We start from the raw sequence: 22,913 nt of genomic DNA on the forward strand, positions 1-22,913 counted from the left end.
GGAGGCCAAAGGGGGTGGATCACTTGAAGTCAGGAGTTCAAGACCAGCATGGCCAACATGGGGAAACCCCATCTCTACTACACACACACACACACACACACACACACACACACACACACACACACACACGTCAGACGTGCTGCTAAATATCTTATAATGCAGCCCTGCAACAAAAAAAAAAATTATCTGACCCCAAATATCAATAGGTCTGAAGTTGAGAAACCTTGGTTTGGATAAAGATAGTCTGTAAATAAGTAATATGGTATATAGTAGTTCTTGTAATACAGAAAAAGAGGTAATAGAAGAACCTATATTTAATAAATCTTTAACACCAAGGTAAGTCATGGAATTTCAAGGCAATACTTCCTTCTCTGTTGAGAAATGCTGGATGGCCTCCCATTACCTGTTAAATTAATACAAATTCCTTTCTGGAATTTAAAGCCCCCTGCTACATGGTCCCTATCAATTTTTCTCTCTCTCTTGCTACTGCCTAAAATGGGCCCTTTGTTCTGACTAAATTTGATCTGTGCAACCCCTTAAACACTCCCCATGTGTCCCCCTGGCTTCACACCTTTTGTCTCTAATAGTCCCTTTTTCTCCATCCCTTCCTCTGTCTCGCTTATACAAATTCTACTCACACTCTTCAAGGCTCTTCTTAAATGCCCCTTCTCTTACAAAATTTCCATTTGAAAGAAACGTTTTCTGCCTTTGAATAACACATGACACAGCAGTCTCACTTTATGCTTCTATCATTTTCTTTTTCATTAGACTCAAAGCTCCTTGTGAGCAAGTCATCTGACACATCTTTCTCTCACATAGCACTTAGTCAGGGGCTTTGCACAAAGGGGACAATAAATGCTTACTGAATAAAAACAGTTCACTTACTCATTCAAGACAGAGTCTCACCCTGTCGTCCAGGCTGGAGCACAGTGCTGCAATCATTGCTCACTACAGCCTCAAATTCCTGGACTCAACCAATCATCCTGCCTCTGCCTCCCAAATAGCTATGACTACTGGTGTGTGCCTCCATGTCTGCTTTTTTTTTTTTTTTTGCAGAGGCAGGGTCTCGCTTTATTGCCCAGGCTGGTCTTTAACTCCTGGCCTCAAGCAATCCTCCTGCCTTAGCCTACCAAAGTGCTGGAATTACAGGCAGTGAGCCACTGCACCTGGCCAAGAATATATTATTTTTTAGATAGGATTGTATTTTAGTTGAGGTAAAAGGCAATAAATGCTGAAACCAATTCTAATGCCAGTGGGAACTGAGGAAATGAAAGGAGGAAAGGTGTGTTCAGTGACTGAATATATCTTTATCAGACCCAACTGCTAGTTAGTACTATTATGGAATAGATACAACTTCATCTCATGGATTTATGACATCATGCTCAGAGGAACAAAGGAAAACAGGGGTATTGGTGCCAGATCTTCAAACATAACAGATGACACAAACACGCGCCCAATTGCTGAAACTTCGTAAGTCTTTGAGACAGTGATCTAAGAGCCTGTGTGAGTCTAGACGTGCACCTTATAAATATCCAGCACTGGCAATAAGCCATGGTGAGATGTTATGTATAAACATATTAAGCTTCCCTGCGCCATGGCATAGGTTCTATCTTGCCAGAGACCATCGCTAGCAATTTAGATCTTAATCTGAATGAAGAGAGCATCCCCCGCAAAATATAAAGGAAAAATGAAGTGGGCACACACAAAAAATAAAAAATTCCCAAATTAACAAAATACATAAGTTATATGTTACACTTAGCCCCATCTGGAGATGAAAATAAATATTCTCACTCTGACCCCACTCAGAATGCATTCAATATATTACATAATCCGTGTCTGGTGAGTGCAAACATTTAACATTTCTATGGCTGACAGTTGACAGGGTTGGGGAGACAAACTTACCCTACCCTCCCTATTAGATGTTCTCAAACCCTAAGCTACCTCATTAATCAAGTGATTTTCCTTAAGCTGTTAGATAGTTACTATATCTTGTTGTGGGAAGGAATGCAGATTTACCTAAATATTGGACTCATGGCGACTTCCTAGTTTGTCTTAAATTTCTGTTTTTTAATACAGAAGTATATCCATGAAAACAGAGACATTTCTCTAAACCAAAAGGGCTCCCCAGAAGATGTCCATATTAGGAAATCCTGACCTCAGAATCACTGTGCTGAGCCTCATAAACTTCTAAGTTGCATTTTCTTTGCTTGTACTCAAACATGAACTTTTATGAACACAGTTGAAATACACTGAGCAGAAAACCCACCGTTAACACGTTGCAACATCATGCTATTAATCAAGGAAGTAACGGAGTTAGGTTTACCCTCCTTGCCAATTTTTAAAAATATCTTTATGGTCTACAAAATCCAACTCTCCAACTTATCCATCCATCCATCCATCCATCAACCCATCCATCCATCCATTCATGTTTTTAGGGCATCTTCTTGCAGTATATCTTTTTGAGAACTTTTACCTTGGCAAAGAGAGCAGGGCCTGGATCTCCTTAAACAGTTAAGAATCACCTGGGGCCTTAACTGCAGCATAAGAATGTGACTGATCACCCTGAGTCAGATGGGAGGAACAGGAAACCAGTAGCTGCCCCAGTAACTGTTATAACCCAGGTGAAACCCAGGAAAGGAGACCAGACAGACACGCCTATATTGGTCATAGTGAACCACCTATTACCTATCACTTAGGACCTGGTATTCGGCAGAAGCTTTCCTAATAACAACGAGGAGAGCAGTCATTTCAGTTTGCCATGTTAGACTGGTAGTATTCTATGACCTTTCTGCTCCTGCCAAAACAAATTGAGCATTATTCAAAACTTCACTAATAAAACTGCCTCAAATGCCACTGAGGTTATTTTTATCAAAGGAAAAAAAAAGCAGATGTTGGTTCAGCATGTAGGTACACTACAAAATGTACTCTCTGGCCACCAGGTGGCATCACTGATTAATAAAAGTTAATTAACTCCATCACCATCACCCAACATGAGTAGCAAAAAATTAACTGGAACACAACATACTATGTGCAACTTCTAGGGATATGCAAGCTGCCTTTTTTTTTTCTTTCTTTTTTTGGAGGGTCTCGCTCTGTTGCCTAGGCTGGAGTGTGCAGTGGTGTGACCAATGCTCATTGTAGCTTCAATCTCCCAGGCTCAAGTGGCTGTCCCACACCTCAGCCTCCCAAGTAGCTAGGACAACAGACCTGTACTACCACGTTGGGCTAAGTTTTTGATTTTTTGTAGAGACGATGTCTCACTATGTTGCCCAGGCTGGTCTTGAACTCCTGAACTCAAGTGATTCTCTCACCCTGGCCTCCCAAAGTGCTGGGATTATAGGTGTGAGCCACGGTGCCAGTACAAGTTAATTTTGTTCTCATATAAAATGCCCAAGGCCACCGGGCGCAGTGGCTCATGCCTGTAATTCCAGCACTTTGGGAGGCCGAGGTGGGCGGATCATGAGGTCAAGAGTTCGAGACCAGCCTGGCCAACATGGTGAAACCCTGTCTCTACTAAGAATACAAAACTAGCTGGGCATGGGGGCGCATGCCTGTAATCCCAGCTACTCAGGAGGCTGAGGCAGGAGACTCGCTTGAACCTGGGAGGCAGAGGTTGCAGTGAGCTGAGATCGTGCCACTGCACTACAGCCTGGGTGACAGAGCAAGACTCTGTCTCAAGAACAACAACAATAACAAATTCCCACGGCCAGGCATAATGGCTCATGCCTGTAATCCCAGTACTTTGGGAGGCTGAGGTGTGCAGATCACTTGAGGTCAGGAGTTTGAGACTAGCCTGGCCAATATAGTGAAACCCCATCTCTACTAAAAATATAAAAATTCACCAGGCATGGTAGTGGGCACCTGCAATCCCAGCTACTCAGGAGACTGAGGCAGGAGAATTGCTAACTCAGGAGGTGGAGTTTGCAGTGAACCGAGATTGTACCTCTACACTCTAGTCTGGATGACAGAGCGAGACTCTGTCTCAAAAAAAAAAAAAAGAAAGAGAGAGAGAGAAAGGATGAGGACCCAATATATACTATATCTTGTTGGAAATCTAAGTTTTCTGTATAAGGGTTCCCAGGGAGCCTTACCACCACTCATTGATTACCTAATCAATACATAACCAACTTAGAGCAGAAACTAGTCGGAAGTCCTGTTAACCATTAATAAAAATTAGTCATCTGTGGGAATCTGGGACTTTTTGCATTCAACACCCAGTCAGATTCCTGGACCGTGCACTGAGAAATGTTTGGCAGCAAAGCACAGAGGAAATGAGTGTATAGGAGGGATAACATTCCAAAGTCAAGTGTTTTGAATTTGAGGACATGTCTTGCTTTGTATTTTTCAGATTTCTTCTTTCCTCCATAAATATGTAGTGGGATCAGCAACACATACAGAATTATGGGATCCAGAGAAAAGTAAGTCTAGTCAATATGACTTTGTAAAGTTTTATGAAGTTTCAGATTTTGCAAGAAACAACCTAAAATTAGCCTGACTTGTGAAACAAAGTACTGATCATTTTAAATACCAAAAACAAGCATCAAGTGTCAACTTACAAAACATACTGACACTTCAAGGCAGCTTGGCGAAGTGGTCAAGAGCCCTTGCTCTGGAATTAGAAGACAGAAATTCCTGGGCCAGGTGCGATGGCTCATGCCTGTAATCCCAGCACTATGGGAGGCCGAGGTGGGAGGATACAGCCTGGGCACATAGTGAGACCCATCTCTAAGTCTTTAGATGATGATGATGATAATAATAATAAAGATAGAAATGCTTACTCTGCCTGGTCCAGCCACATCTAGTTGAGGCATGGGACTTTGGCCATGCCCCATAGCATTTTTGTGTGTTAATATCCTCATGCATAAAATAACTAGGCTGAACCAGAATGAAAACTGTAACGATTCTCATTCCAAAATATCATGAAACATATTTTGTTGAATAAAATAAAAAATGAAAAATTTGAAAAATTAAATAATGAGGAAAACTTAAACTATGAACATCTCTGAGAAAAACAATTACTAAACTATTTCCTTGTTTTTATAAATGCTTGATTTGACTTAAAAACCATCCTAGGGGTATATCATACAGTACTTAGGTGTTCTATTAGCTCTTTAGTGCATTTAATTTGTTTTGGCTATTTACATAAGTAGGATGGCAATACAACCTTATCTCCCCATATAGTCCTGCCTTATACCTGCTGTCCAGGCATAATTATAAATACTGTCCTCTTTTACTTTTGTAAGTTAATGGGTTTGGATTTATAAGTAACACTGATTAGCACTGTCGGCTGGTGTGGTGGCTTACACCTGTAATCTCAGAACTTTGGGAGGCCGAAGTGGGCAGATCACCGGAGGTCAGGAGTTTGAGACCCGCCTTGCCAACATGGCAAAAACCTGTCTCTACTAATTAGCTGGGGGTAGTGGCACACGCCTATAATCCCAGCTACTCGGGAGGTGGAGGCAGGAGGATCGCTTGAACCCAGGAGGCAGAGGTTGCAGTGAGCCAAGATTGTGCCACTGCACTCCAGCCTGGGTGACAGAGCAAGACTCCATCTCAAAAAAACAAAAATAAAAATAAAAAAATAGGCCAGGTGCAGTGGCTCATGCCTGTAATCCCAGCACTTTGGGAGGCTGAGGCGGGAGGATCACGATGTCAGGAGTTCGAGACCTCCCTGACCAACATGGTGAAACCCCATCTCTACCAAAAATACAAAAGTTAGCCGGGTGTGGTGGAATGCTCCTGTAGTCCCAGCTACCCAGGAGGCTGAGACAGAAGAACTGCTTGAACCCAAGAGGCGGAGGTTGAAGTGAGCTGACATCACGTCACTGCACTCCAGCCTGGGTGACAGAGTGAGTCCGTCTCAAAAATAAATAAATAAAAATAAATAAATAAATAAATAAATAAAGCATGCCTTCTTCCATATTTCAGATTCTTTTCTTGGGATCAGGGAGAATAATTTATTTATTTATTTATTTATTTTTTATTTTTTTTGCTTCATGATTTGTGATATAGAAAAAAATTAAAGTTAAAAAAAATTTTAGGCTGGGCATGGTGGTTCATGTCTGTAATCCCAGCACTTTGGGAGGGTGAAGGAGGTGGATCACCTGAGGTCAGGAGTTCAAGACCAGCCTGGCCAACATAGCGAAACCCTGTCTCTACTAAAAATACAAAATTAGTAGGGCATGGTGGTGTGCGCCTATAGTCCCAGCTACTCGGGAGGCTGAGGCAAGGAGAATTGCTTAAACTCCGGAGGCAGAGGTTGCAGTGAGCCGAGATCGCACCACTGCACTCTAGCCTGGGTGACAGAGTGAAACTCCACCTCAAAAATAAAATGAAATAAAATAAAATATTAAATTATTTTTGGGTGCTTGATACATATCACAAAAAACCTTTCCTAAAGGGATGTGAAACTTTTAATACAAATATATGAGAATAACAGTTTCAGTAAATGCCAATTTTGTGTGCTGCAGTTTTTTATTGCTAATAGAATTGGTAACTGTTTTATTTGATAGTTATCATTCGAAGGACACAATACACCACTATATATTTATTATGTGCTCTTTTTTTCTAAGTTATTATATTTGTTCATATTTTTAGTCTAGATGTCTATTTTTAGTATTTGTGCTGAAATGAAAATTTCCTAGAGGTATATTTTCTGATGTGCTGTTTGCCTTTTTACTTTGACTGTATTTTAAACTTTTATAATATTTTAATGTTATTATAATGGTGCAAATGTGCCTCAAAAAATAAAATAAATAAAATGAAATGAAAAGTGTCAATATTTTCATTTACAGGCTGGCTGCTGTGGCTCACCCCTGTAATCCCAGCACTTTGGGAGGCCGAAGCGGGCAGATCACTTGAGGTCAGTTGTTTGAGACCAGACTGGCCAACATGGTGAAACCCTGTCTCTACTGAAAATACAAAAAATTAGCCGGGCATGGCGGCAGGCACCTGTAATCCCAGCTACTAGGGAGGCTGAGGCCGGAGAATCACTTGAACCCCTTGAACCCAGGAGGTGGAGGTTGCAGTGAGCTGAGTTCACATCATTGCACTCCAGCCTGGGTAATAAGAGTAAAATTCCGTCTCAAAAAAAAAAAAAGATATATATATATATATGTATATATATATATATATATATTCCTTTATAATTAATTTTTCTGGGCCTACAAAACTATCTTTCATCCTGTCCTCATTTTAGAGTTTCAATAAATAGCCAGTTTTATAATTCTTCATATTTAGCTCTGATTTTATTTGTAGTATATGTATTAATGTAGGAACCTTAATTTGTTTTTCAAATTATTATTATTTTTGAGATGGAGTCTCTCCTGTTGCCCAGGCTGGAATGCAGTGGCATGATCTTGGCTCACTGCAATCTCCGCCTCCTGGGTTCAAGGGATTCTCCTGCCTCAGCCTCCCCAGTAGCTGGGACGACAGATGTGTGTCACAACGCCCAGCTAATTTTTGTACTTTTAGTAGAAATGAGGTTGTACCATGTCGGCCAGGCTGGTTATTTTTCAAATTATTAATAGGTTATTTAATAAACAATCTTTTTTCTATTGTCTTGGGTTTCCTACTTTGTCATACATTAGATTCTTATAAACAGTCCATTTCAAGTTACTTCCTTATTACATAAGGAATAATTCCTTTTATAAAAAAATTAATAGATCTATTCTTGCAATGCTATTGTGTAACTTTAATTGTTGATGCCTTAGAATATGTATGCACTGGCATTTGCCTCCCAGAATATTATTTAACAATGTACATATCCTATTTATTTCTATACACAAAATCATTTTGACAAGTAACAATAAAACTCCAAAATTCTAAGTTAAGTTTAATGAGAATATGTAATGTCATGAATATATTAGAAGCTAAGTAAATGGTACTATAATATAAGGTATCATTTTATGCACAAATGCTAAAACTGTGGCCTTCCTGAGGACAGAAAGCCTGATTTTAATTATTGTTGTAGCCCCTGCACCTAGAAGAAGATCTGCTATGCCAGGCACAGTGGCTTGCACCTGTCATCCCAGCACTTTGGGAGGCTGAGGCAGTTGGATCACCTGAGGACAGGAGTTTGAGACCAGCCTAGCCAACATGGTGAAACCCCGTCTCTACTAAAAATACAAAAATTAGCCGGGCGTGGTGGCTCATGTCTGTAATTCCAGCTACTCGGGAGGCTCAGGTGCGAGAACTGCTTGAATCCAGGAGGCAGAGGTTGCAGTGAGCTGAGATTGCACCATTGCACTCTAGCCTGGGCAACAGAGCGAGACTCAGTCTCAAAAAAAAAAAAAAAAAAAAAAAAGGCTCTGGCCTTTGGCTCTAATTCTTCTGCTTCTCAAATACTCATTCAATTCTAGTCCTTGAATCTGTATGTGGCCTAGAACCACCTCTTATAGATGTGGTGCTTGCCTAAGTTAGAAAGTGTCATCTCGGGAGGGGCACAGTGGCTCATGCCTGTAATCCCAGCACTTTGGGAGGCCAAGGTGGGCAGATCACATGAGGTCAGGAATTCGAGACCAGCCTGGCCAACATGGTGAAACCTCGTCCCTAATAAAAATACAAAAATTAGCTGGGCATGGTGGTGCATGCCTCCAGTCCCAGCTTCTTGGGAGGCTAAGGTAGGAGAATCACTTGAACCTGGGAAGTGGAGGTTGCACAGCCTGAGCGACAGAGTGAGACTCTGTCAAAAAAAAAAAAAGCGATCTTTCTGGGCTCTCAGGTTGCCTTTCTGTGAATTAGAAAAGGTCCCTTTCCTGGGCCAATGCACCCCCTCCTCACCAGGGCACAAAATATGGCAAGGAAAGGATCACCTGAGGACAGGAGTTTGAGACAAGCCTGGCCAACATGGTGAAACCCTGTCTCTATTAAAAATACAAAAATTAGCTGGGTATGATGGCTCATGTCTGTAATTCCAGCTACTTGGGAGGCTCAGGTTGGAGAACTGCTTGCAGGCATCCTTGTCCAAGAATTATGTAAGGAAGCCCTGATCTATCCTAGACTTTGACACAACCCTGGTCCTGAGGCGGCATCCCCACAGAACTCACAAACCAAACCCAACTCCAGGCTCATCCTAAGGCAAAATTTTGACACAGATCTCATGATAGATGGTATCTCCCCAGGTCCCTTTTTAGTGGGAAAGTCTAGCTAGGCATATCCAGAATGTTCTAAGAAGAGGCAAACTGCAAAAGTCAATATACATTTTTTTTTTTTTTGAGATGGGGTCTCTCTCTATCCCCCAGGCTGGACTACAGTGGCGCTATCTCTGCTTACTGCAAGCTCCGCCTCCTGGGTTCATGCCATTCTCCTGCCTCAGCCTCCCAAGTAGCTGGGACTACAGGCGCCCACCACCACACCCAGCTAATTTTTTTGTATTTTTAGTAGAGATGGGGTTTCACCGTGTTATTCAGGACGGTCTCGATCTCCTGACCTTGTGATCCACCCGCCTCGGCCTCCCAAAGTGCTGGGATTACAGGCGTGAGCCACCACGCCCGGCCAATATACACACTATTTTGACTTGACTTGTCTGAGACTGCTTTTCTTTCTTCCTTTTTTTTTTTCTTTTTTGGAGACAGGGTTTCCCTCTGTTGCCCAGGCTGGAGTGCTATAGCTCACTGCAGCCTCCACCAACCTCGACCTCCTGGACTCAAGCGATACTCCTGTCTCAGCCTCCTGAGTACCTGAGACTACAGGTGTGTGCCACCATGCATGGCTAATTTTTTTTTTTTAAAGAGGTGGGGTCTCCCTATGTTGCCCAGGCTGGTCTTGAACTCCTGAGCTCAATGGATCCTTCTGCCTCGGCCTCCCAAAGAGCTGGGATTACAGGCGTGAGCCACCGTACCTGGCCTGAGACTGCTTTTCTTAGTGGATACATTTTCTAGTAGCTGCCAGTTTATTAAGCAGGAATCTTAAGTGTACGGAAATGGCCTTGGCACAGTCGAGCCACACTTAAAAGAAGCTGTTACCCATATTTGGTCTGTACCACCCTGAGTATCAACAAAGCAAACTTACGTTTAGGGACATAAGCACATTTTATTACCTAACAGCCAAGCGAAGAATAAAGCAAATGTAAGCACCACAGTTCAAATTTGATTAAAGTTCAGTGTTTTCTCCAACTGAAACAGGTCCTGATGAGAGCCCATGATTCTGACTAAAACTGTGAGAGCAACTTTAGCAACAGATTCTGCTTGCTATAGCTCTGCCAAGACAAGTCCCAGCAACAGAGGCAATTGGTTACTTGCAGGAAATCTGGGTCAAATCTGCACTTAGAATTGGAAAAAGAATGGCTTTGTAGCAATGTCTATGGGTAGAATTTGGGGTATCTGCAAACTTGGAGGGCAAAAAGAGGCACACAAACAAACCCACCCTATTTTCACTAACCTCTACGTGTAAAATAGGATTTTCTTCCATCATAAATGTAGGTGCAAACCACAACAGTATCAGTGATATCTGTGACTTTATCACCACAGATATTTTTATAGCATATTACAGTTGTGGCAGACATCTTATCCCTCTTAGCACTCCTCTCACCCCTACTTCAAAATCGTGGTACTTATTACATCTGCCACCTGATCTTATTTAATGCAGTACTAAAGAAGTGCATGCATTAATTACTATGTCATGATTAAAAAATATTTTATTACTGTGATTGTGGTATAGCAAAAAAAAATTTTTTTTTAATAACTGTACTTCAGCCCAGTTGGTTTTCCCTTTAATCTTATGTAGTTTATTCAGCACTTAAAAAAAATTATTCTGAGAAGGGCTCATAGGCTATATCAGACTGCCAGAAGAATCTAGGCACAAAAAAATTTAAGAACTCCTGTTCTACAGAGAAACTAAGATTACATTTAAAAGCTCTAAGCTAATAAAACAGGTGGATGAAATGTGCTACCCTTGATCTTAGCCAAAAGGCCGAGAAGCGATGATGAAATGTGCTTGCCTCATATACCCTAAACACTTTCCATAGCATTAAAATATTTCATGGATGGCTAGGTGTAGTGGCTCATGCCTATAATTCCAGCACTTTAGGAGGCTGAGGTGGAAGGATCCCCTGAACCCAGGAATTCAAGATGAGCCTGGGCAACATAGTGAGATCCCATCTCTACAAAAAAAATAGAAAAAATTAGCCGGGTATGGTGGTGCATGCCTGTAGCCACAGCTACTTGGTACGCTGAAGTGGGAGGATCTCTTGAGTCTGGAAGGTTGAAGCTGCAGTAAGCCATGATCCTGCCACCACACTCTAACCTGGGAAACAGAGCAAGACCATGTCTCAATAAATAAATAAATATTTATATTTTGTGGATACCTGGATACAATTTATTCAATACTATCTCTCAAAATACCTTTTTCACAACTACAATTAAAAATGAATTCCTTCTCACCGACTGCCGCCAATATGGTGTTCAGGCACTTCATGGAGGTTGGCTGGGCAACCTACGTCGCCTTTGGACCTCATGCTGGAAAATTCATTGTGATCATAGATGTTATTGATCAGAACAGGGCTTTGGTTGGTGGACCTTGCGCTCAAGTGAGGAGACAGGCCATGCCTTTCAAGTACATGCAGCTCACTGATTTCATCCTCAAGTTTCCATACAGTGCCCACCAGAAGTATGTCCCACAAGCCTGGCAGAAGGTAGACATCAATACAAAATGGGCAGCCACACAATGGGCCAGGAAGATTGAAGCCAGAGAAAGGAAAGCCAAGATGACAGATTCTGATCATTTTAAAGTTATGAAGGCAAAGAAAATGAGGGACAGAATAATCAAGAATGAAGTTAACAAGCTTCAAAAGGAAGCTCTCCTGAAAGCTTCTCTCAAAAAAGCACCTGTTGCTAAGGGTGCTGCTGCAGCTGCTGCTAAATTTCCAGCAAAAAAGATGACCGCTGTGGGCAAGAAGGCTCCAGCCCAGAAGGTTCCTGCCCAGAAAGCCACAGGCCAGAAGGCAGCACCTCCTCCAAAAGCTCAGAAGGGTCAAAAAGCTCCAGCCCAGAAAGCCCCTGCTCCAAAGGCATCTGGCAAGAAAGCATATGAGGCAACTATAAAAACAATAAAGGTTCTTTAAAAAAAACAAACAAAAAACAAAGGCCAGCCATGGTGGCTCACGCCTGTAATCCCAGTACCGTGGGAGGCTGAGGCAGGTGGATCACTTGAGGTCAGGAGTTTGAGAACAGCCTGGCCAATATGGTGAAACCCTATCTCTACTAAAAATACAAAAAAATTAGCTGGGCATGGTGGTGCATGCCTGTAATCCCAGCTACTCAGGAGGCTGAGGCAAGAGAACTGCTTGAACCCGGGAGGTGGAGGTTGTAGTGAGCCGAGATCACACCACTGCACTCCAGCCTGGGCGACAGAGTGAGACTCAGTCTCAAAAAAAAAAAAAAAGAAAAAGAAAAAGAAAAAACAGAACAATAAAAATTAGCCAGACGTGGTAGTGGGCACCCATAACCCCAACTACTTGAGAGGCTTTGGTGGGAGAATTGCTTGAACCCAGGAGTCGGAAGTTGCAGTGAGCTGAGATCATACCACTGCACTCCAGCTGGGGTGACAGGGTGAGACTTGGTCTCAAAAAAATAAAAAATAAAAAAACAGGAATTGCAACAGAACAAGAACTGAGCAAATTACAACATGAATTCTGAATTCTGAGTTGCATTATCTTCCTAATTTAACATGGTTGGAACTACCTTATATCAGACACCTTTGGGCTCGTCAGAAACTAGATAACTAGATTCCTTGTCTGGAGTGCAGGACAGCCCTACTTTTTTTTTTTTTTAAATCAAGTTCTGCCTTAGAGAAAGTGTTAAAATAACTTTGATACATACAATTAACCCTAGGTTTTAAAATAAATACTTGCTAAACAGAAGTTTTCCGTAAGGGTTTTTAAAAAAGAGTCATCTATTAGCGGCTGGGCGTGGTGGCTCACGCCTGTAATCCCAGCAGTTAGGGAGGCCGAGGCAAGTGGATCACGAGGTCAGGAGTTCCAGACCAGCCTGGCCAATATGGTGAAACCCCGTCTCTACTAAAAATACAAAAATTAGCTGGGCATGGTGGCACGTGCCTGTAGTCCCAGCTACTCGGGCGGTTGAGGCAGAAGAATCACTTGAACCCAGGAGGTGGAGGTTGTAGTGAGCCAAGATCGTGCCACTGCACTCCAGCCTGGGCAACAGAGTTAGACTCCATCTCAAAAGAAAAAAAGTCATCTATTAATTTAATTGTGATCTTTTTTATATGCGCTTGTTAGCCTGTACATAGCTCAAATTTATAGCTTCAGAACACTATAACAGATGTTTTAAATATCTCATTTTCTACCAACATGAGAAATCCTAGATTTCTAAAACCTAGAGGCAGTTAATATCATCCTAAAGGCAAAGACAACGAGAAAAAGTAATATAATATGTTGTTAAAGTAGCCTTTTATATAACATAAATATTTTGAACAAGATCAAAGAAACCACCTGATCCACATTTAATCAAAGGACTATTTTTTTCTAACTACATAAGTGGAAAAGACTTATCAGAGGAATTTTAAAATTCCTGTATCTTATATTTTCTCTATCAGGATCCTTACTGATTTAACTTGTTTCAACACTAATGTAATAACCTTCCACAAATGAAAGGCTTTTTTCTGAAAAACAAATTATACAACATATAGCACAGGTAGATGGAAAAAAACTAAAAGGATATGTGATAGCCATCTCTGGATGGTAGAAGATGAAAAAAGACTTAGTTTTTTCATAATCCTTAAATATTTTTGTATGCACAAAAGATCCCTTCAAAGACAAAAAGTGGCCCTTACAAAAATAACACATCACCAGAATATACTTTCTCAAACTGAGTGAGTATCTTTTGTGACTGCTACTTGCACTGAAGTCTGCCTCTGACTTTATTTTTTTGAGATGGGGGTCCTGCTGTGTCGCCCAGGGTGAAGTACAACAGGCACGATCATGGCTGATTGCAGCCTTGAACTCTTGGGCTCAAGTGATCATCCTGCCTCAGCTTCCTCAGTAGCTGGGATGACCGGTGTGTGCCACCACACCCAGCTAATTTTTAAATTTTTCTTTTGTAGAGACAGGGTCTCACTATGTTGACTAGGCAGGTTTCAAACTCCTGGGCTCAAGCGATCCTCCCAACTCAGTGCTGGGATTACAGGCACGAGCCACCATGCCCAGCCCTGCCTCTGACTTCAAGGGGTTTACAATCTAGTGGAGAAGATAAGGCACAGATCCATGGTATAATTAAACAACTAAAAGATTTAGTCACAAGACAAAGGGCAAGATCAATACAATTTTTAGGAATTGAGAAGGAGAAGGCTCAGTGGGGGCCTAAGTGATTGGGCATGACCTCAAAGAGGAAGACTGTAAGCCCCATCAGGGCAGGGGCCACCACTGGGTTGTCTGCCAGTGTATATGGGTGTCCAGCTCAGGGCCAACTTATATAAATATTTGTTGGTGGAGTAATTAATGGAGGAGAGAATCTGGTTTTGAAGGACAGCTTTCAGGAGACAGCAAGAAACCTACTATAGCTAGACTAAAGGAAAAGAAGGTTCAGGTAATTCTGGGTTATAAACTGGTCTTTATACTATGAATAAGTGGGTTTTCAACTTTTCTAATAAACAGAATGAAAGTGTGTCCTTGGAAGAGAAATTAGGCAGTAACTGTGCTAGGCTACATGGAGGGGTGATAAGAGGTAGCATGACCACCAGCAAGATATTGCTATAAAATGGCGTGAGTTTAGAAGGGCCTGGCCTGGAGCCTAACAGAGAAATAGAAGGAGCAGAAACTAGAGGTGGAGGAAAATTTGCTGGCAGATCCTACAGGGAGGAAAGAGAAAAGGGAAGGATTTCAGTCCTTTCCATAATTTTGTGACTGGATGACTGAAAGAATGCTTTTAAACATTTATTAATCCATCCGTCCATGCATCTATGCATCCATGCATCCATGCATGCATGCATGCATCCATCCATCCATCCATCCATCCATCCATCCATCCATCCATCCATCCATCCAACATTCATTGCTGCTACCGCATGGGGATTCTCAATCTTATAAAAAAGAGCAACTCTCCCTTTCCCTAATTACACCTGTCAGTTGACTGAGTCTCTGATGTGTTCCAGGATCTATGCCTGACACTGGGATAGGATAATAAAGATGGTCTCTACCCGGAAGAGATGAGAAAGAAGAAGATAAGTAAAAGTTAAGGCTGCTCTGATAACTACAAGTTAAGAAAACAGATAAGTCTGTTTTCTTCCCATTCTTCCCAACTTCAAACAGGATCCAGCCTGATAAACTGGCCTTGAGTAAAATTTACAAGTTTTGTTTGTTTGTTTTTTCTGAGACAGAGTCTTGCTCTGTCACCCAGGCTGGAGTGCAGTGGTACGATCTCAGCTCACTGCAACGTCCACCTCCCAGGTTCAAGTGATTCTCCTGCCTTAGCCTCCTGAGTAGCTGGGATTATAGGCGCATGCTACCACGCCCAGCTAATTTTTGTTTTTTTTTGTAGAGACAGGGTTTCACCATGTCGGCCAGGCTGGTCTCGAACTTCTGAGCTCAAGCAATCTGCCCACCTCAGCTTCCCAAAGTGTTGGGATTACAGGCGTGAGCCATCATGCCCAGCCAAAATTTATAAATATTTAGGCTTAAATTATATAAATCACTGATTTTGTTATACAACTATATGCATTCTTTTAGATCCGGTTTGAACTGATCTTAAAAAAATACTAACAAGAATGTAGGTGTAAGTGTTTTACTACCATGCAGGAAGAGATTGCCCAAATAGAATACCCTATAGAAACCCAAAGTAAGTCCAGAAAAGAAAACACTGGAAGACAATACCATGGTTATTTGAACAGCAGTGACAGACTGCTCTATCTGGGGATTTCCGCTGATCTTTTCTAAAAGGATTCCAGAAGAAACCATCTTATCTTATCATCTATGCATATCTCAGTGGGAGGCACAAACCTACTTACATTGAATCAGGCAGGACTCCTTCCCCTTCTCAGCCTGAAACTTAAAACAGCAAAGTTGCCAGGAGTTGCCTCAAATGAATGAAGTACCACTCCTGCCTGCTCTTGTATATTTTGTGCATTTGGAATCAATCCAAACTCCAAAATGGAAATAAAAGTACTTAACCTCACAAAGTTGTTGGAGGATTAAATCATTTGAGCTTTATTATCCAAAGTAATTAACATGTTTGAAAGATGCAAATTTAAGACTTAAAATCCAACTTTAAAAAATCTCAGACTGGGCCCAGTGGCTCAGGCCTGTGATGCCAGCACTTTGGGAGGCCAAGGCAGGAGGATCACTTGACCCCAGGAGTTCGAGACCAGCCTGGGCAACATGGGGAAACCCTGTTTTTACATAAAATTTAAAAAAAAAAATCTCAGTGCCTAGACAGCAGTACTTTCACAGCAACAGTAGATATGTCTTGCAAAGTAAAGAGTAATCAGAACATCACAAAAATGAGTACTGGAAAATCAGAATTTTAAATAAAAATAAAAAGCATCAGTTAACAGGATGGATCACTTAAATACAAAAATAAAAATAAAAAAGCAAATCTTTAGTATTGACCTGCAAGGTTATAGGAATGTCCTTAGGATTATAGGAACATAGGTGCTTCAATTAAAGCTGTGTAGCCTTGGGAGGACATTTCACCTTTGTGCTTGTGCCTTTCTTTTTAGGAGAAGATATCATCTCTAATATAAATGTTGTCTCAATGTCATTCTTTGGACAAAAAACATTTTGGCTAAAGAGTTTTTTTTTTTTTTTTTTTTTGAGAGGGAGGTTGCTCTTCCTGGCTAGGCTAGAGTGCAATGGTGCGATCTCAGCTCACCACAACCTCTGCCTCTCGGGTTCAAACAATTCTGCCTCAGCCTCCTGAGTAGCTGGGATTATGGGCATGTGCCACCATGCCTGGCTGATTTTTGTATTTTTAGTAGAGATGGGGTTTCTCCATGTTGGTCAGGCTGGTCTCGAACTCCTGACCTCAGGTGATCTGCCCGCCTCAGCCTCCCAAAGTGTTGGGATTACAGGCGTGAGACACCACACCTGGTGAGATGTTTTAAACCTAGCTTAAAACCAATCTAAATTACTTCCTGAACAGCTTCAACATATCCAAAACTGACCCAGATATTTTGGAGGCCACTAAATTATAGATATAAGACACACTCCCTGAACTCAAGGTTGGAGAACTGAAGCAATCAGAGATGGCTACAAAGAGAATGGACTTCTGACCTGACTTCAGGTCAGGCTTAGGGGAAGGAAAGAATTTTAAGCAATGGAAGAAAAGGCATAGGATGAAGAATACAAAGTCTACTACGTTCTTTAATTTTAGTCCTGATTTCGTGGCCTTGAATAAGCCATTCATCACTTTTCCCCCTTCCCAAATCCACCAGTATCGAGGGCCTATTATATATAAGGTATTGTGCAACAATTAACGAATGGAAAAGCCGAGGTGGGCAGATCATCTGAGGTCAGAAGTTTGAGACCAGGCTGGCCAACACAGCAAAACCATATCCCTACTAAAAATACAAAAATTAGCCAGGTATGGTGGCAGGTGCCTGTAATCCCAGCTACTTGGGAGGCTGAGGAGGGAGGATAACTTGAACCTGGTAGGCGGAGGTTGCAGTGAGCTGAGATTGTGCCACTGCACTACAGCCTGGGTAACAGGCAAGATTTCATCTCATAAATAAATAAATAAATAACAGAAAAGATTTCCCAATCTAAGATTAAGTAAGAGGTAGCTCAAACTAAAAATAACTCCAAGCTCACATGATGTTGGTATTATAAAACAAAATTCTTCTTCTTTTGTTTAAGAGACGGAATTCTCACTGTCACCCGGGCTGAAGTGCAGTAGCATGACCATGGCTCACTGTAGCCTCAAATTCCCGGGCTCAAGCAATCCTCCCGGCTCAGCCTCCTGAGTTGCTGGGTTATAGGCATAAGCCACTACACCTAGTTAAAATCTATTTTAGTAAAGAGAGTTTTTTAAAACCTGCTTTTGTCATTTCACACTTTCTCAATAAAAAACAAACTAAGCATGAAACCTAAATTTAACATATGTAGACTTTTTACTACTTAGAACAGTCGTAGTGTGTAAAATAAAATAAATAATATGGCCGGGCACCGTGGCTCATGCTTGTAATCCCAGCACTTTGGGAGGCCAAGGCAGGCGGATCACAAGGTCAAGAGATCAAGACCATCCTGGCCAACATGTTGAAACCCCGTCTCTACTAAAAATACAAAAAATTAGCTGGGCGTGGTGGCATACGCCTGTAGTCCCAGCTACTCGGGAGGCTGAGGCAGGAGAATCTCTTGAATCCAGGAGGCGGAGTTTGCAGTGAGCTGAGATTGCACCACTGCACTCCAGCCTGGCAACTGAGCAAGATTCCGTCTCAAATAAATAAATAAATAAATAAACAAATAAATAAATAAATAATATGTAAAAATTAATCTTTGCACTAAATTTTCAGATTCTTGTTCCATTCCCCTCCCATTTGAAACTACAGCTGTCTTTTGCCACTAAAAACAGTACTTCATTTGACAGCTATGGAAAGAGCCTATGCCATTCAATAGCTGGTTTATGAGAAGCACTGAGTTTATCTAGCAAAAACACAACATGTGTATCAGTACTTCCCTTTGTCCTGTGTATTCTAAATCTCTGCCAAAAGCAGAAGTAAGAAAGTACAGAGGGACAGGATATCCTTAAATTATTCAGTTGGCTTTATGTCATTCCAGACAGAAACCTAGTGCCTGATTCATCCTTAGAAATTTAAATTAAGGGCCAGTTGTGGTGGCTCACGCCTATAATCTCAGCACTTTGGGAGGCCAAGGTCGGCAGATCACTTGAGGTCAGGAGTTTGAGACCAACCTGGCCAACATGGTGAAACCCCGCCTCTACTAAAAATACAAAAATTAGCCGGGCATGGTGGTGCACACCTGTAATCCCAGCTACACAGGAGGCTGAGGCAGGAGAATCGCTTGAACCTGGGAGATGGAGGCTGCAGTGAGCCAAGATGGCGCCACTGCACTCCAGCCTGTCCTGGGGCTAAAAGGTAGGTCTTCCTCGTGAGCAGTCTGTCACTAGGCAAGCTTTGAAGTGCTGAAGCCTTTTCCCTAAAGAGAAATGAGGAAATCCTGGTTTTTCAGGATTCACCTATTATCTCCAATATAGCTCTTGGCTTAAGAGAGTGAAGTTAAGAAGAAAAGCATGGACACCATTTCTTAAGGAGAGTAACAGAAACCCAGTACCTCCAAATTTACTTATAGAACACATTGACTTTACGGTTGTGGCCACATTTTGACGTTCTTGTCCATTTTGATACAATTTTAATGCGTATTATATATGCATATTAAGTCACTGTACATCCAATACAGTTCAGCAAATATTCCAGAGACCCTAGTAGTAGGTGTTGGGTAACTATGTTTGGTACTGAGACTACACTAGCCTTTTTGTGATGCCAAACCACTTAATTTCAATAAGCCTGTTATCTCATCTGTGAAGATAAAACTGATATTTGCAAGGCTATGGTGAGGATTTAAAGAGCCAGTGAATATAAAGGCCTGATTACAGCAAGTTCCTTCACTCAAACACAGTGTTTTTGCTTTTTTCTTTCCTTCTTTTTTCCTTACTAAACAGACATAGCTCTATAATCTTGAAGCTTACAGTCTAGTAGAAGATAGACTATTATCATAAGGAAATAACTATCAGGATAAGAATACTACTATTACTAATAATAGTAAAAGCTAATACTTATGTAGAACTTGTTATAATTAAAGCATTATTCCTGTTTTTTTTAGACAGGGGTCTATGTTTCCCAGGATAGTCTCAAACTCCTGGGCTCAAAGATCCTCCCGCCTCAGCCTCTCCAGTAGCTGGGACTACAGGCGTGTCCACTGCACCCAGCTACGGTACTATTCTAAGCACTGTCCACATTTAGCTCATTAATCAAACCTTATAACAACCTTCTGAGGCAAGTAACTAGGGCTATGATAATGCTATATAAATATGTGGGAGTGACCCTCTAAACTCCACTCTCGAGTAGTTGGGGAACGTACCTTCTTGGAATTAATAATATTAGCCAGGTGAAATGATGCACGGGTATGGGCTTGGGATGGTCAAAGATGTTCTGAATTAAAAAGCAGCTACATGTATGAATGCCCTGAGGTGAAAATGCACACATGGATGGATGATCAAAGAACCGAAAGCCGTTCAGTTCAGGCAACGTATATGTAAAGTATATAAGCAATCTACAAATCCACGTATTAGGCAACGTGGTGACGGGGGTGATATACAAAGAGAGGCACCCGAGTTTCATAAAGGCAAGAAGAGTTGGCTGATGGATAAACCAACTGGGTGGTTGGCAAAATGCTGGAGAAGCCCACCTGTCAGCAACAGCCTGTACTGGGGGATCCTCTGAACCGGCTTGAGCAGGTAGTGCTTGAGGGCCAGATTAGCACAGCGAGGGCTCATCTGAAAGGAGAAGGCATCTAAATTAACACAGTGTTTTCTAAGAAGCAAGGGACCCAGATTCAAGTGCTCAGGAAGCCAAACTTTAAACATCAAGCAACTCTGGAAGGAGATTCGTAGAGAGGCTCCCTTTTATTTTAAGGTACAGCTGTTAGATACACTGAGAGTGAACCCCAGCCAGACTGACCACCAACCTCCACCCTTTCCTGTAGGCAGTCCCTGAAACCATTTGCTCCTAGGAAAAACTTGTTAACAACCCTCTCAAAGAGCGTGGTAGCCACAGTCTGTGTCCTAGGCTAGTTAGAGCCCACCCTACTCAGCAGCTCCCACTTGTATTGATAAATACAAACAAATCCCAATGGACCAAGAAGGAAATGCATGGCCCCTAAAATAAGGCAGTGGAAATACAACTGCCAGGAATTGGATTCAAATGATAATCAGAGCCTTGTGGTCAATATAGTCAAAATAATGGTGGTGGCAGGGAGAACTGTAGAAAGTAAAGATAACCTGAAAAGCGGCCTTGCTAAGTATCCCTTCTTTAAGAAGTCTGAAGAATGTAAAAGTCTTTTGCAGATGAATGGCCTTATAAAAAGATAGCCCCCAAATCACAGCATTTATAGGAACATTTGATTATGGAACCACATTTTGGCTTGACTACAAAGACATTTGGTTATCCCTTGAAACCTCTCTTCCTTAGTATGTACAACAGACATCTATCTCGGCCCATTCCTGAGCCTCACCCTCATTCTCCAACCTAAGAGTTTACTGTGAGGTGGCATCAAAAAGGCCAAGTGAAAATGTCCCTGCATCCTAAGAACTACAAAAAAGAGTCACGCTTCTAACATAGCGCAAGTTGGTTGATAAGTTTTGTTAGATTTGCTCAGACTTTTATCATTTTCTAAATATGTACCACCACTATCTGGTACACAGAGTGATTATGAAATTATAATGATAATGCATGTTAAGAAAGTATCTTTCATCCAAGCATCATTAACCCAGATTACTAATTCTCCTGGCCTTATGGCTCCCCGTTTTCTTTTGCTAACAAGGTAACACAACTCACTGGACTCTTACCAAAACCTGGGTCAATCATCAGTTGCCACAATTACATTGCACTTTGTTTTTTGATAGCACAAAGACAACAGAGGAGAGGAAAAGAAGAAAAAATTACAGATGACTTTAAAATTTAATTATTTGTCTATTGCACAAATCAGAAATCAGCAATACCATACTATTTTAAAAACTTTTCATTTTGGTTGGGTGAGGTGGCTCACTCTTGTAATCCCAGCACTTTGAGAGGCCAAGGTGGGTGGATCATGAGATCAGGAGTTCGAGACCAGCCTGGCCAACACAGTGAAACCCTGTCTCTACTAAAAATACAAAAATCAGCTGGGCATGGTGGCACATGCCTGAAATCCCAGCTACTCGGGAGGCTGAGGCAGGAAAATCACGTGAACCTCGGAGGCAGAGGTTGCAGTGAGCCGAGATCACACCACTGCACTCCAGCCTGGGCGACAGAGCTAGACTCCATCTCAAAAAACAAAACAAAAACAAAAACAAACAAACAAAAAAAACCCTTTTCACTTCTAGTTTTGTGTGACTGGAATTCACCGATCTTTTAAGCTTCAAAACAGAGAAGTACTAAAATACAGTACGCAAATTTTACTCCAAACTGATGGAGGGGACTTGTGATTTTATCTCTAATTAAATCAGGGTTCCACCCTCACAGCTCTGAGTTAAAAGTCAAAGCTTTGGCTGACACATGCTCTGAACAGGTTATTACTTTTTCTTAACTTTGGCACCAAAACCATGTTATTTATTTATCTAAAGGGAAATATAAATTCTATTTCCCATCCATCATTGTAAGTTAATTGTTAGGATAAAAGAAGAAGTTAAATTAAAAGTTAAGACATGTTCCTTAATCAAGTTCATTGAGTCAGAAAGCAGAATGGTGGTTGCCAAGGGCTGGGAGGGAAGAGAGAATAGAGTTAATGTTTAATGCCTATAGAGCTTCAGTTTTGCAAGTTGAAAAGAGTTCTGGGGATCTGGTTGCACAAGAATGTCAACGTACTTAACATTACTGAACTATAAACTTGAAAACTGTTAAAATGCTAAGTTTGTGTTGTATGTATTTTACCACAGTTTAAAAAGTCCCATCAAAATATTCTTTCCAGCTAGGCACAGTGGCTCACGCCTGTAATCCCAGCACTTTGGGAGGCCGAGCAGGGTGGATCACCTGAGGTCAGGAATTCGAGACCAGCCTGGCCAATGTGGTGAAACCCCATCTCCACTAAAAATACAAAAAATTAGCCAGGTGTGGTGGCACGTGCTTGTAATCCCAACTACTCGGGAAGCTGAGGCAGGAGAATCACTTGAACCTGGGAGGCGGAGGTTGCAGTGAGCCAATCTACGTGCGAATGTACTCCAGCCTGGGCAACAGAGCAAGACTCTGTC

At 41.6% G+C, this 22,913-nt stretch overlaps 1 protein-coding gene and 1 pseudogene across 1 annotated transcript in view, besides 2 other annotated features; one reads left to right on the forward strand and one right to left on the reverse strand.

Moving 5' to 3' along the window:
* FGD6 (FYVE, RhoGEF and PH domain containing 6) overlaps positions 1–22,913 on the reverse strand; it is a 140,719-nt gene that overhangs the window by 37,616 nt on the left and 80,190 nt on the right. Inside the window, exon 8 of the mRNA NM_018351.4 lies at positions 20,375–20,462. Within this exon, the coding sequence (NP_060821.3) occupies positions 20,375–20,462 (88 nt within the window). The remainder of the gene's footprint in view (positions 1–20,374; positions 20,463–22,913) is intronic.
* Positions 376–1,109: an enhancer, noted in NCBI's record as "OCT4-NANOG-H3K27ac hESC enhancer chr12:95508516-95509249 (GRCh37/hg19 assembly coordinates)". NCBI's record gives its function as "activates a minimal SCP1, AML or CMV promoter by ChIP-STARR-seq in naive H9 embryonic stem cells {active_cell/tissue: H9 hESC(naive)}" and the evidence as "EXISTENCE:reporter gene assay evidence [ECO:0000049][PMID:30033119]".
* RPL14P4 (ribosomal protein L14 pseudogene 4) lies at positions 11,374–12,059 on the forward strand (annotated as a pseudogene).
* Positions 18,536–18,736: a silencer, noted in NCBI's record as "peak1898 fragment used in MPRA reporter construct". NCBI's record gives its function as "represses an SCP1 promoter by STARR-seq MPRAs in K562 erythroleukemia cells {active_cell/tissue: K562}" and the evidence as "EXISTENCE:reporter gene assay evidence [ECO:0000049][PMID:32103011]".

Source organism: Homo sapiens, chromosome 12, assembly GCF_000001405.40.
Source record: "Homo sapiens chromosome 12, GRCh38.p14 Primary Assembly".
In the NCBI taxonomy this organism is placed as follows: Eukaryota; Metazoa; Chordata; class Mammalia; order Primates; family Hominidae; genus Homo; species Homo sapiens.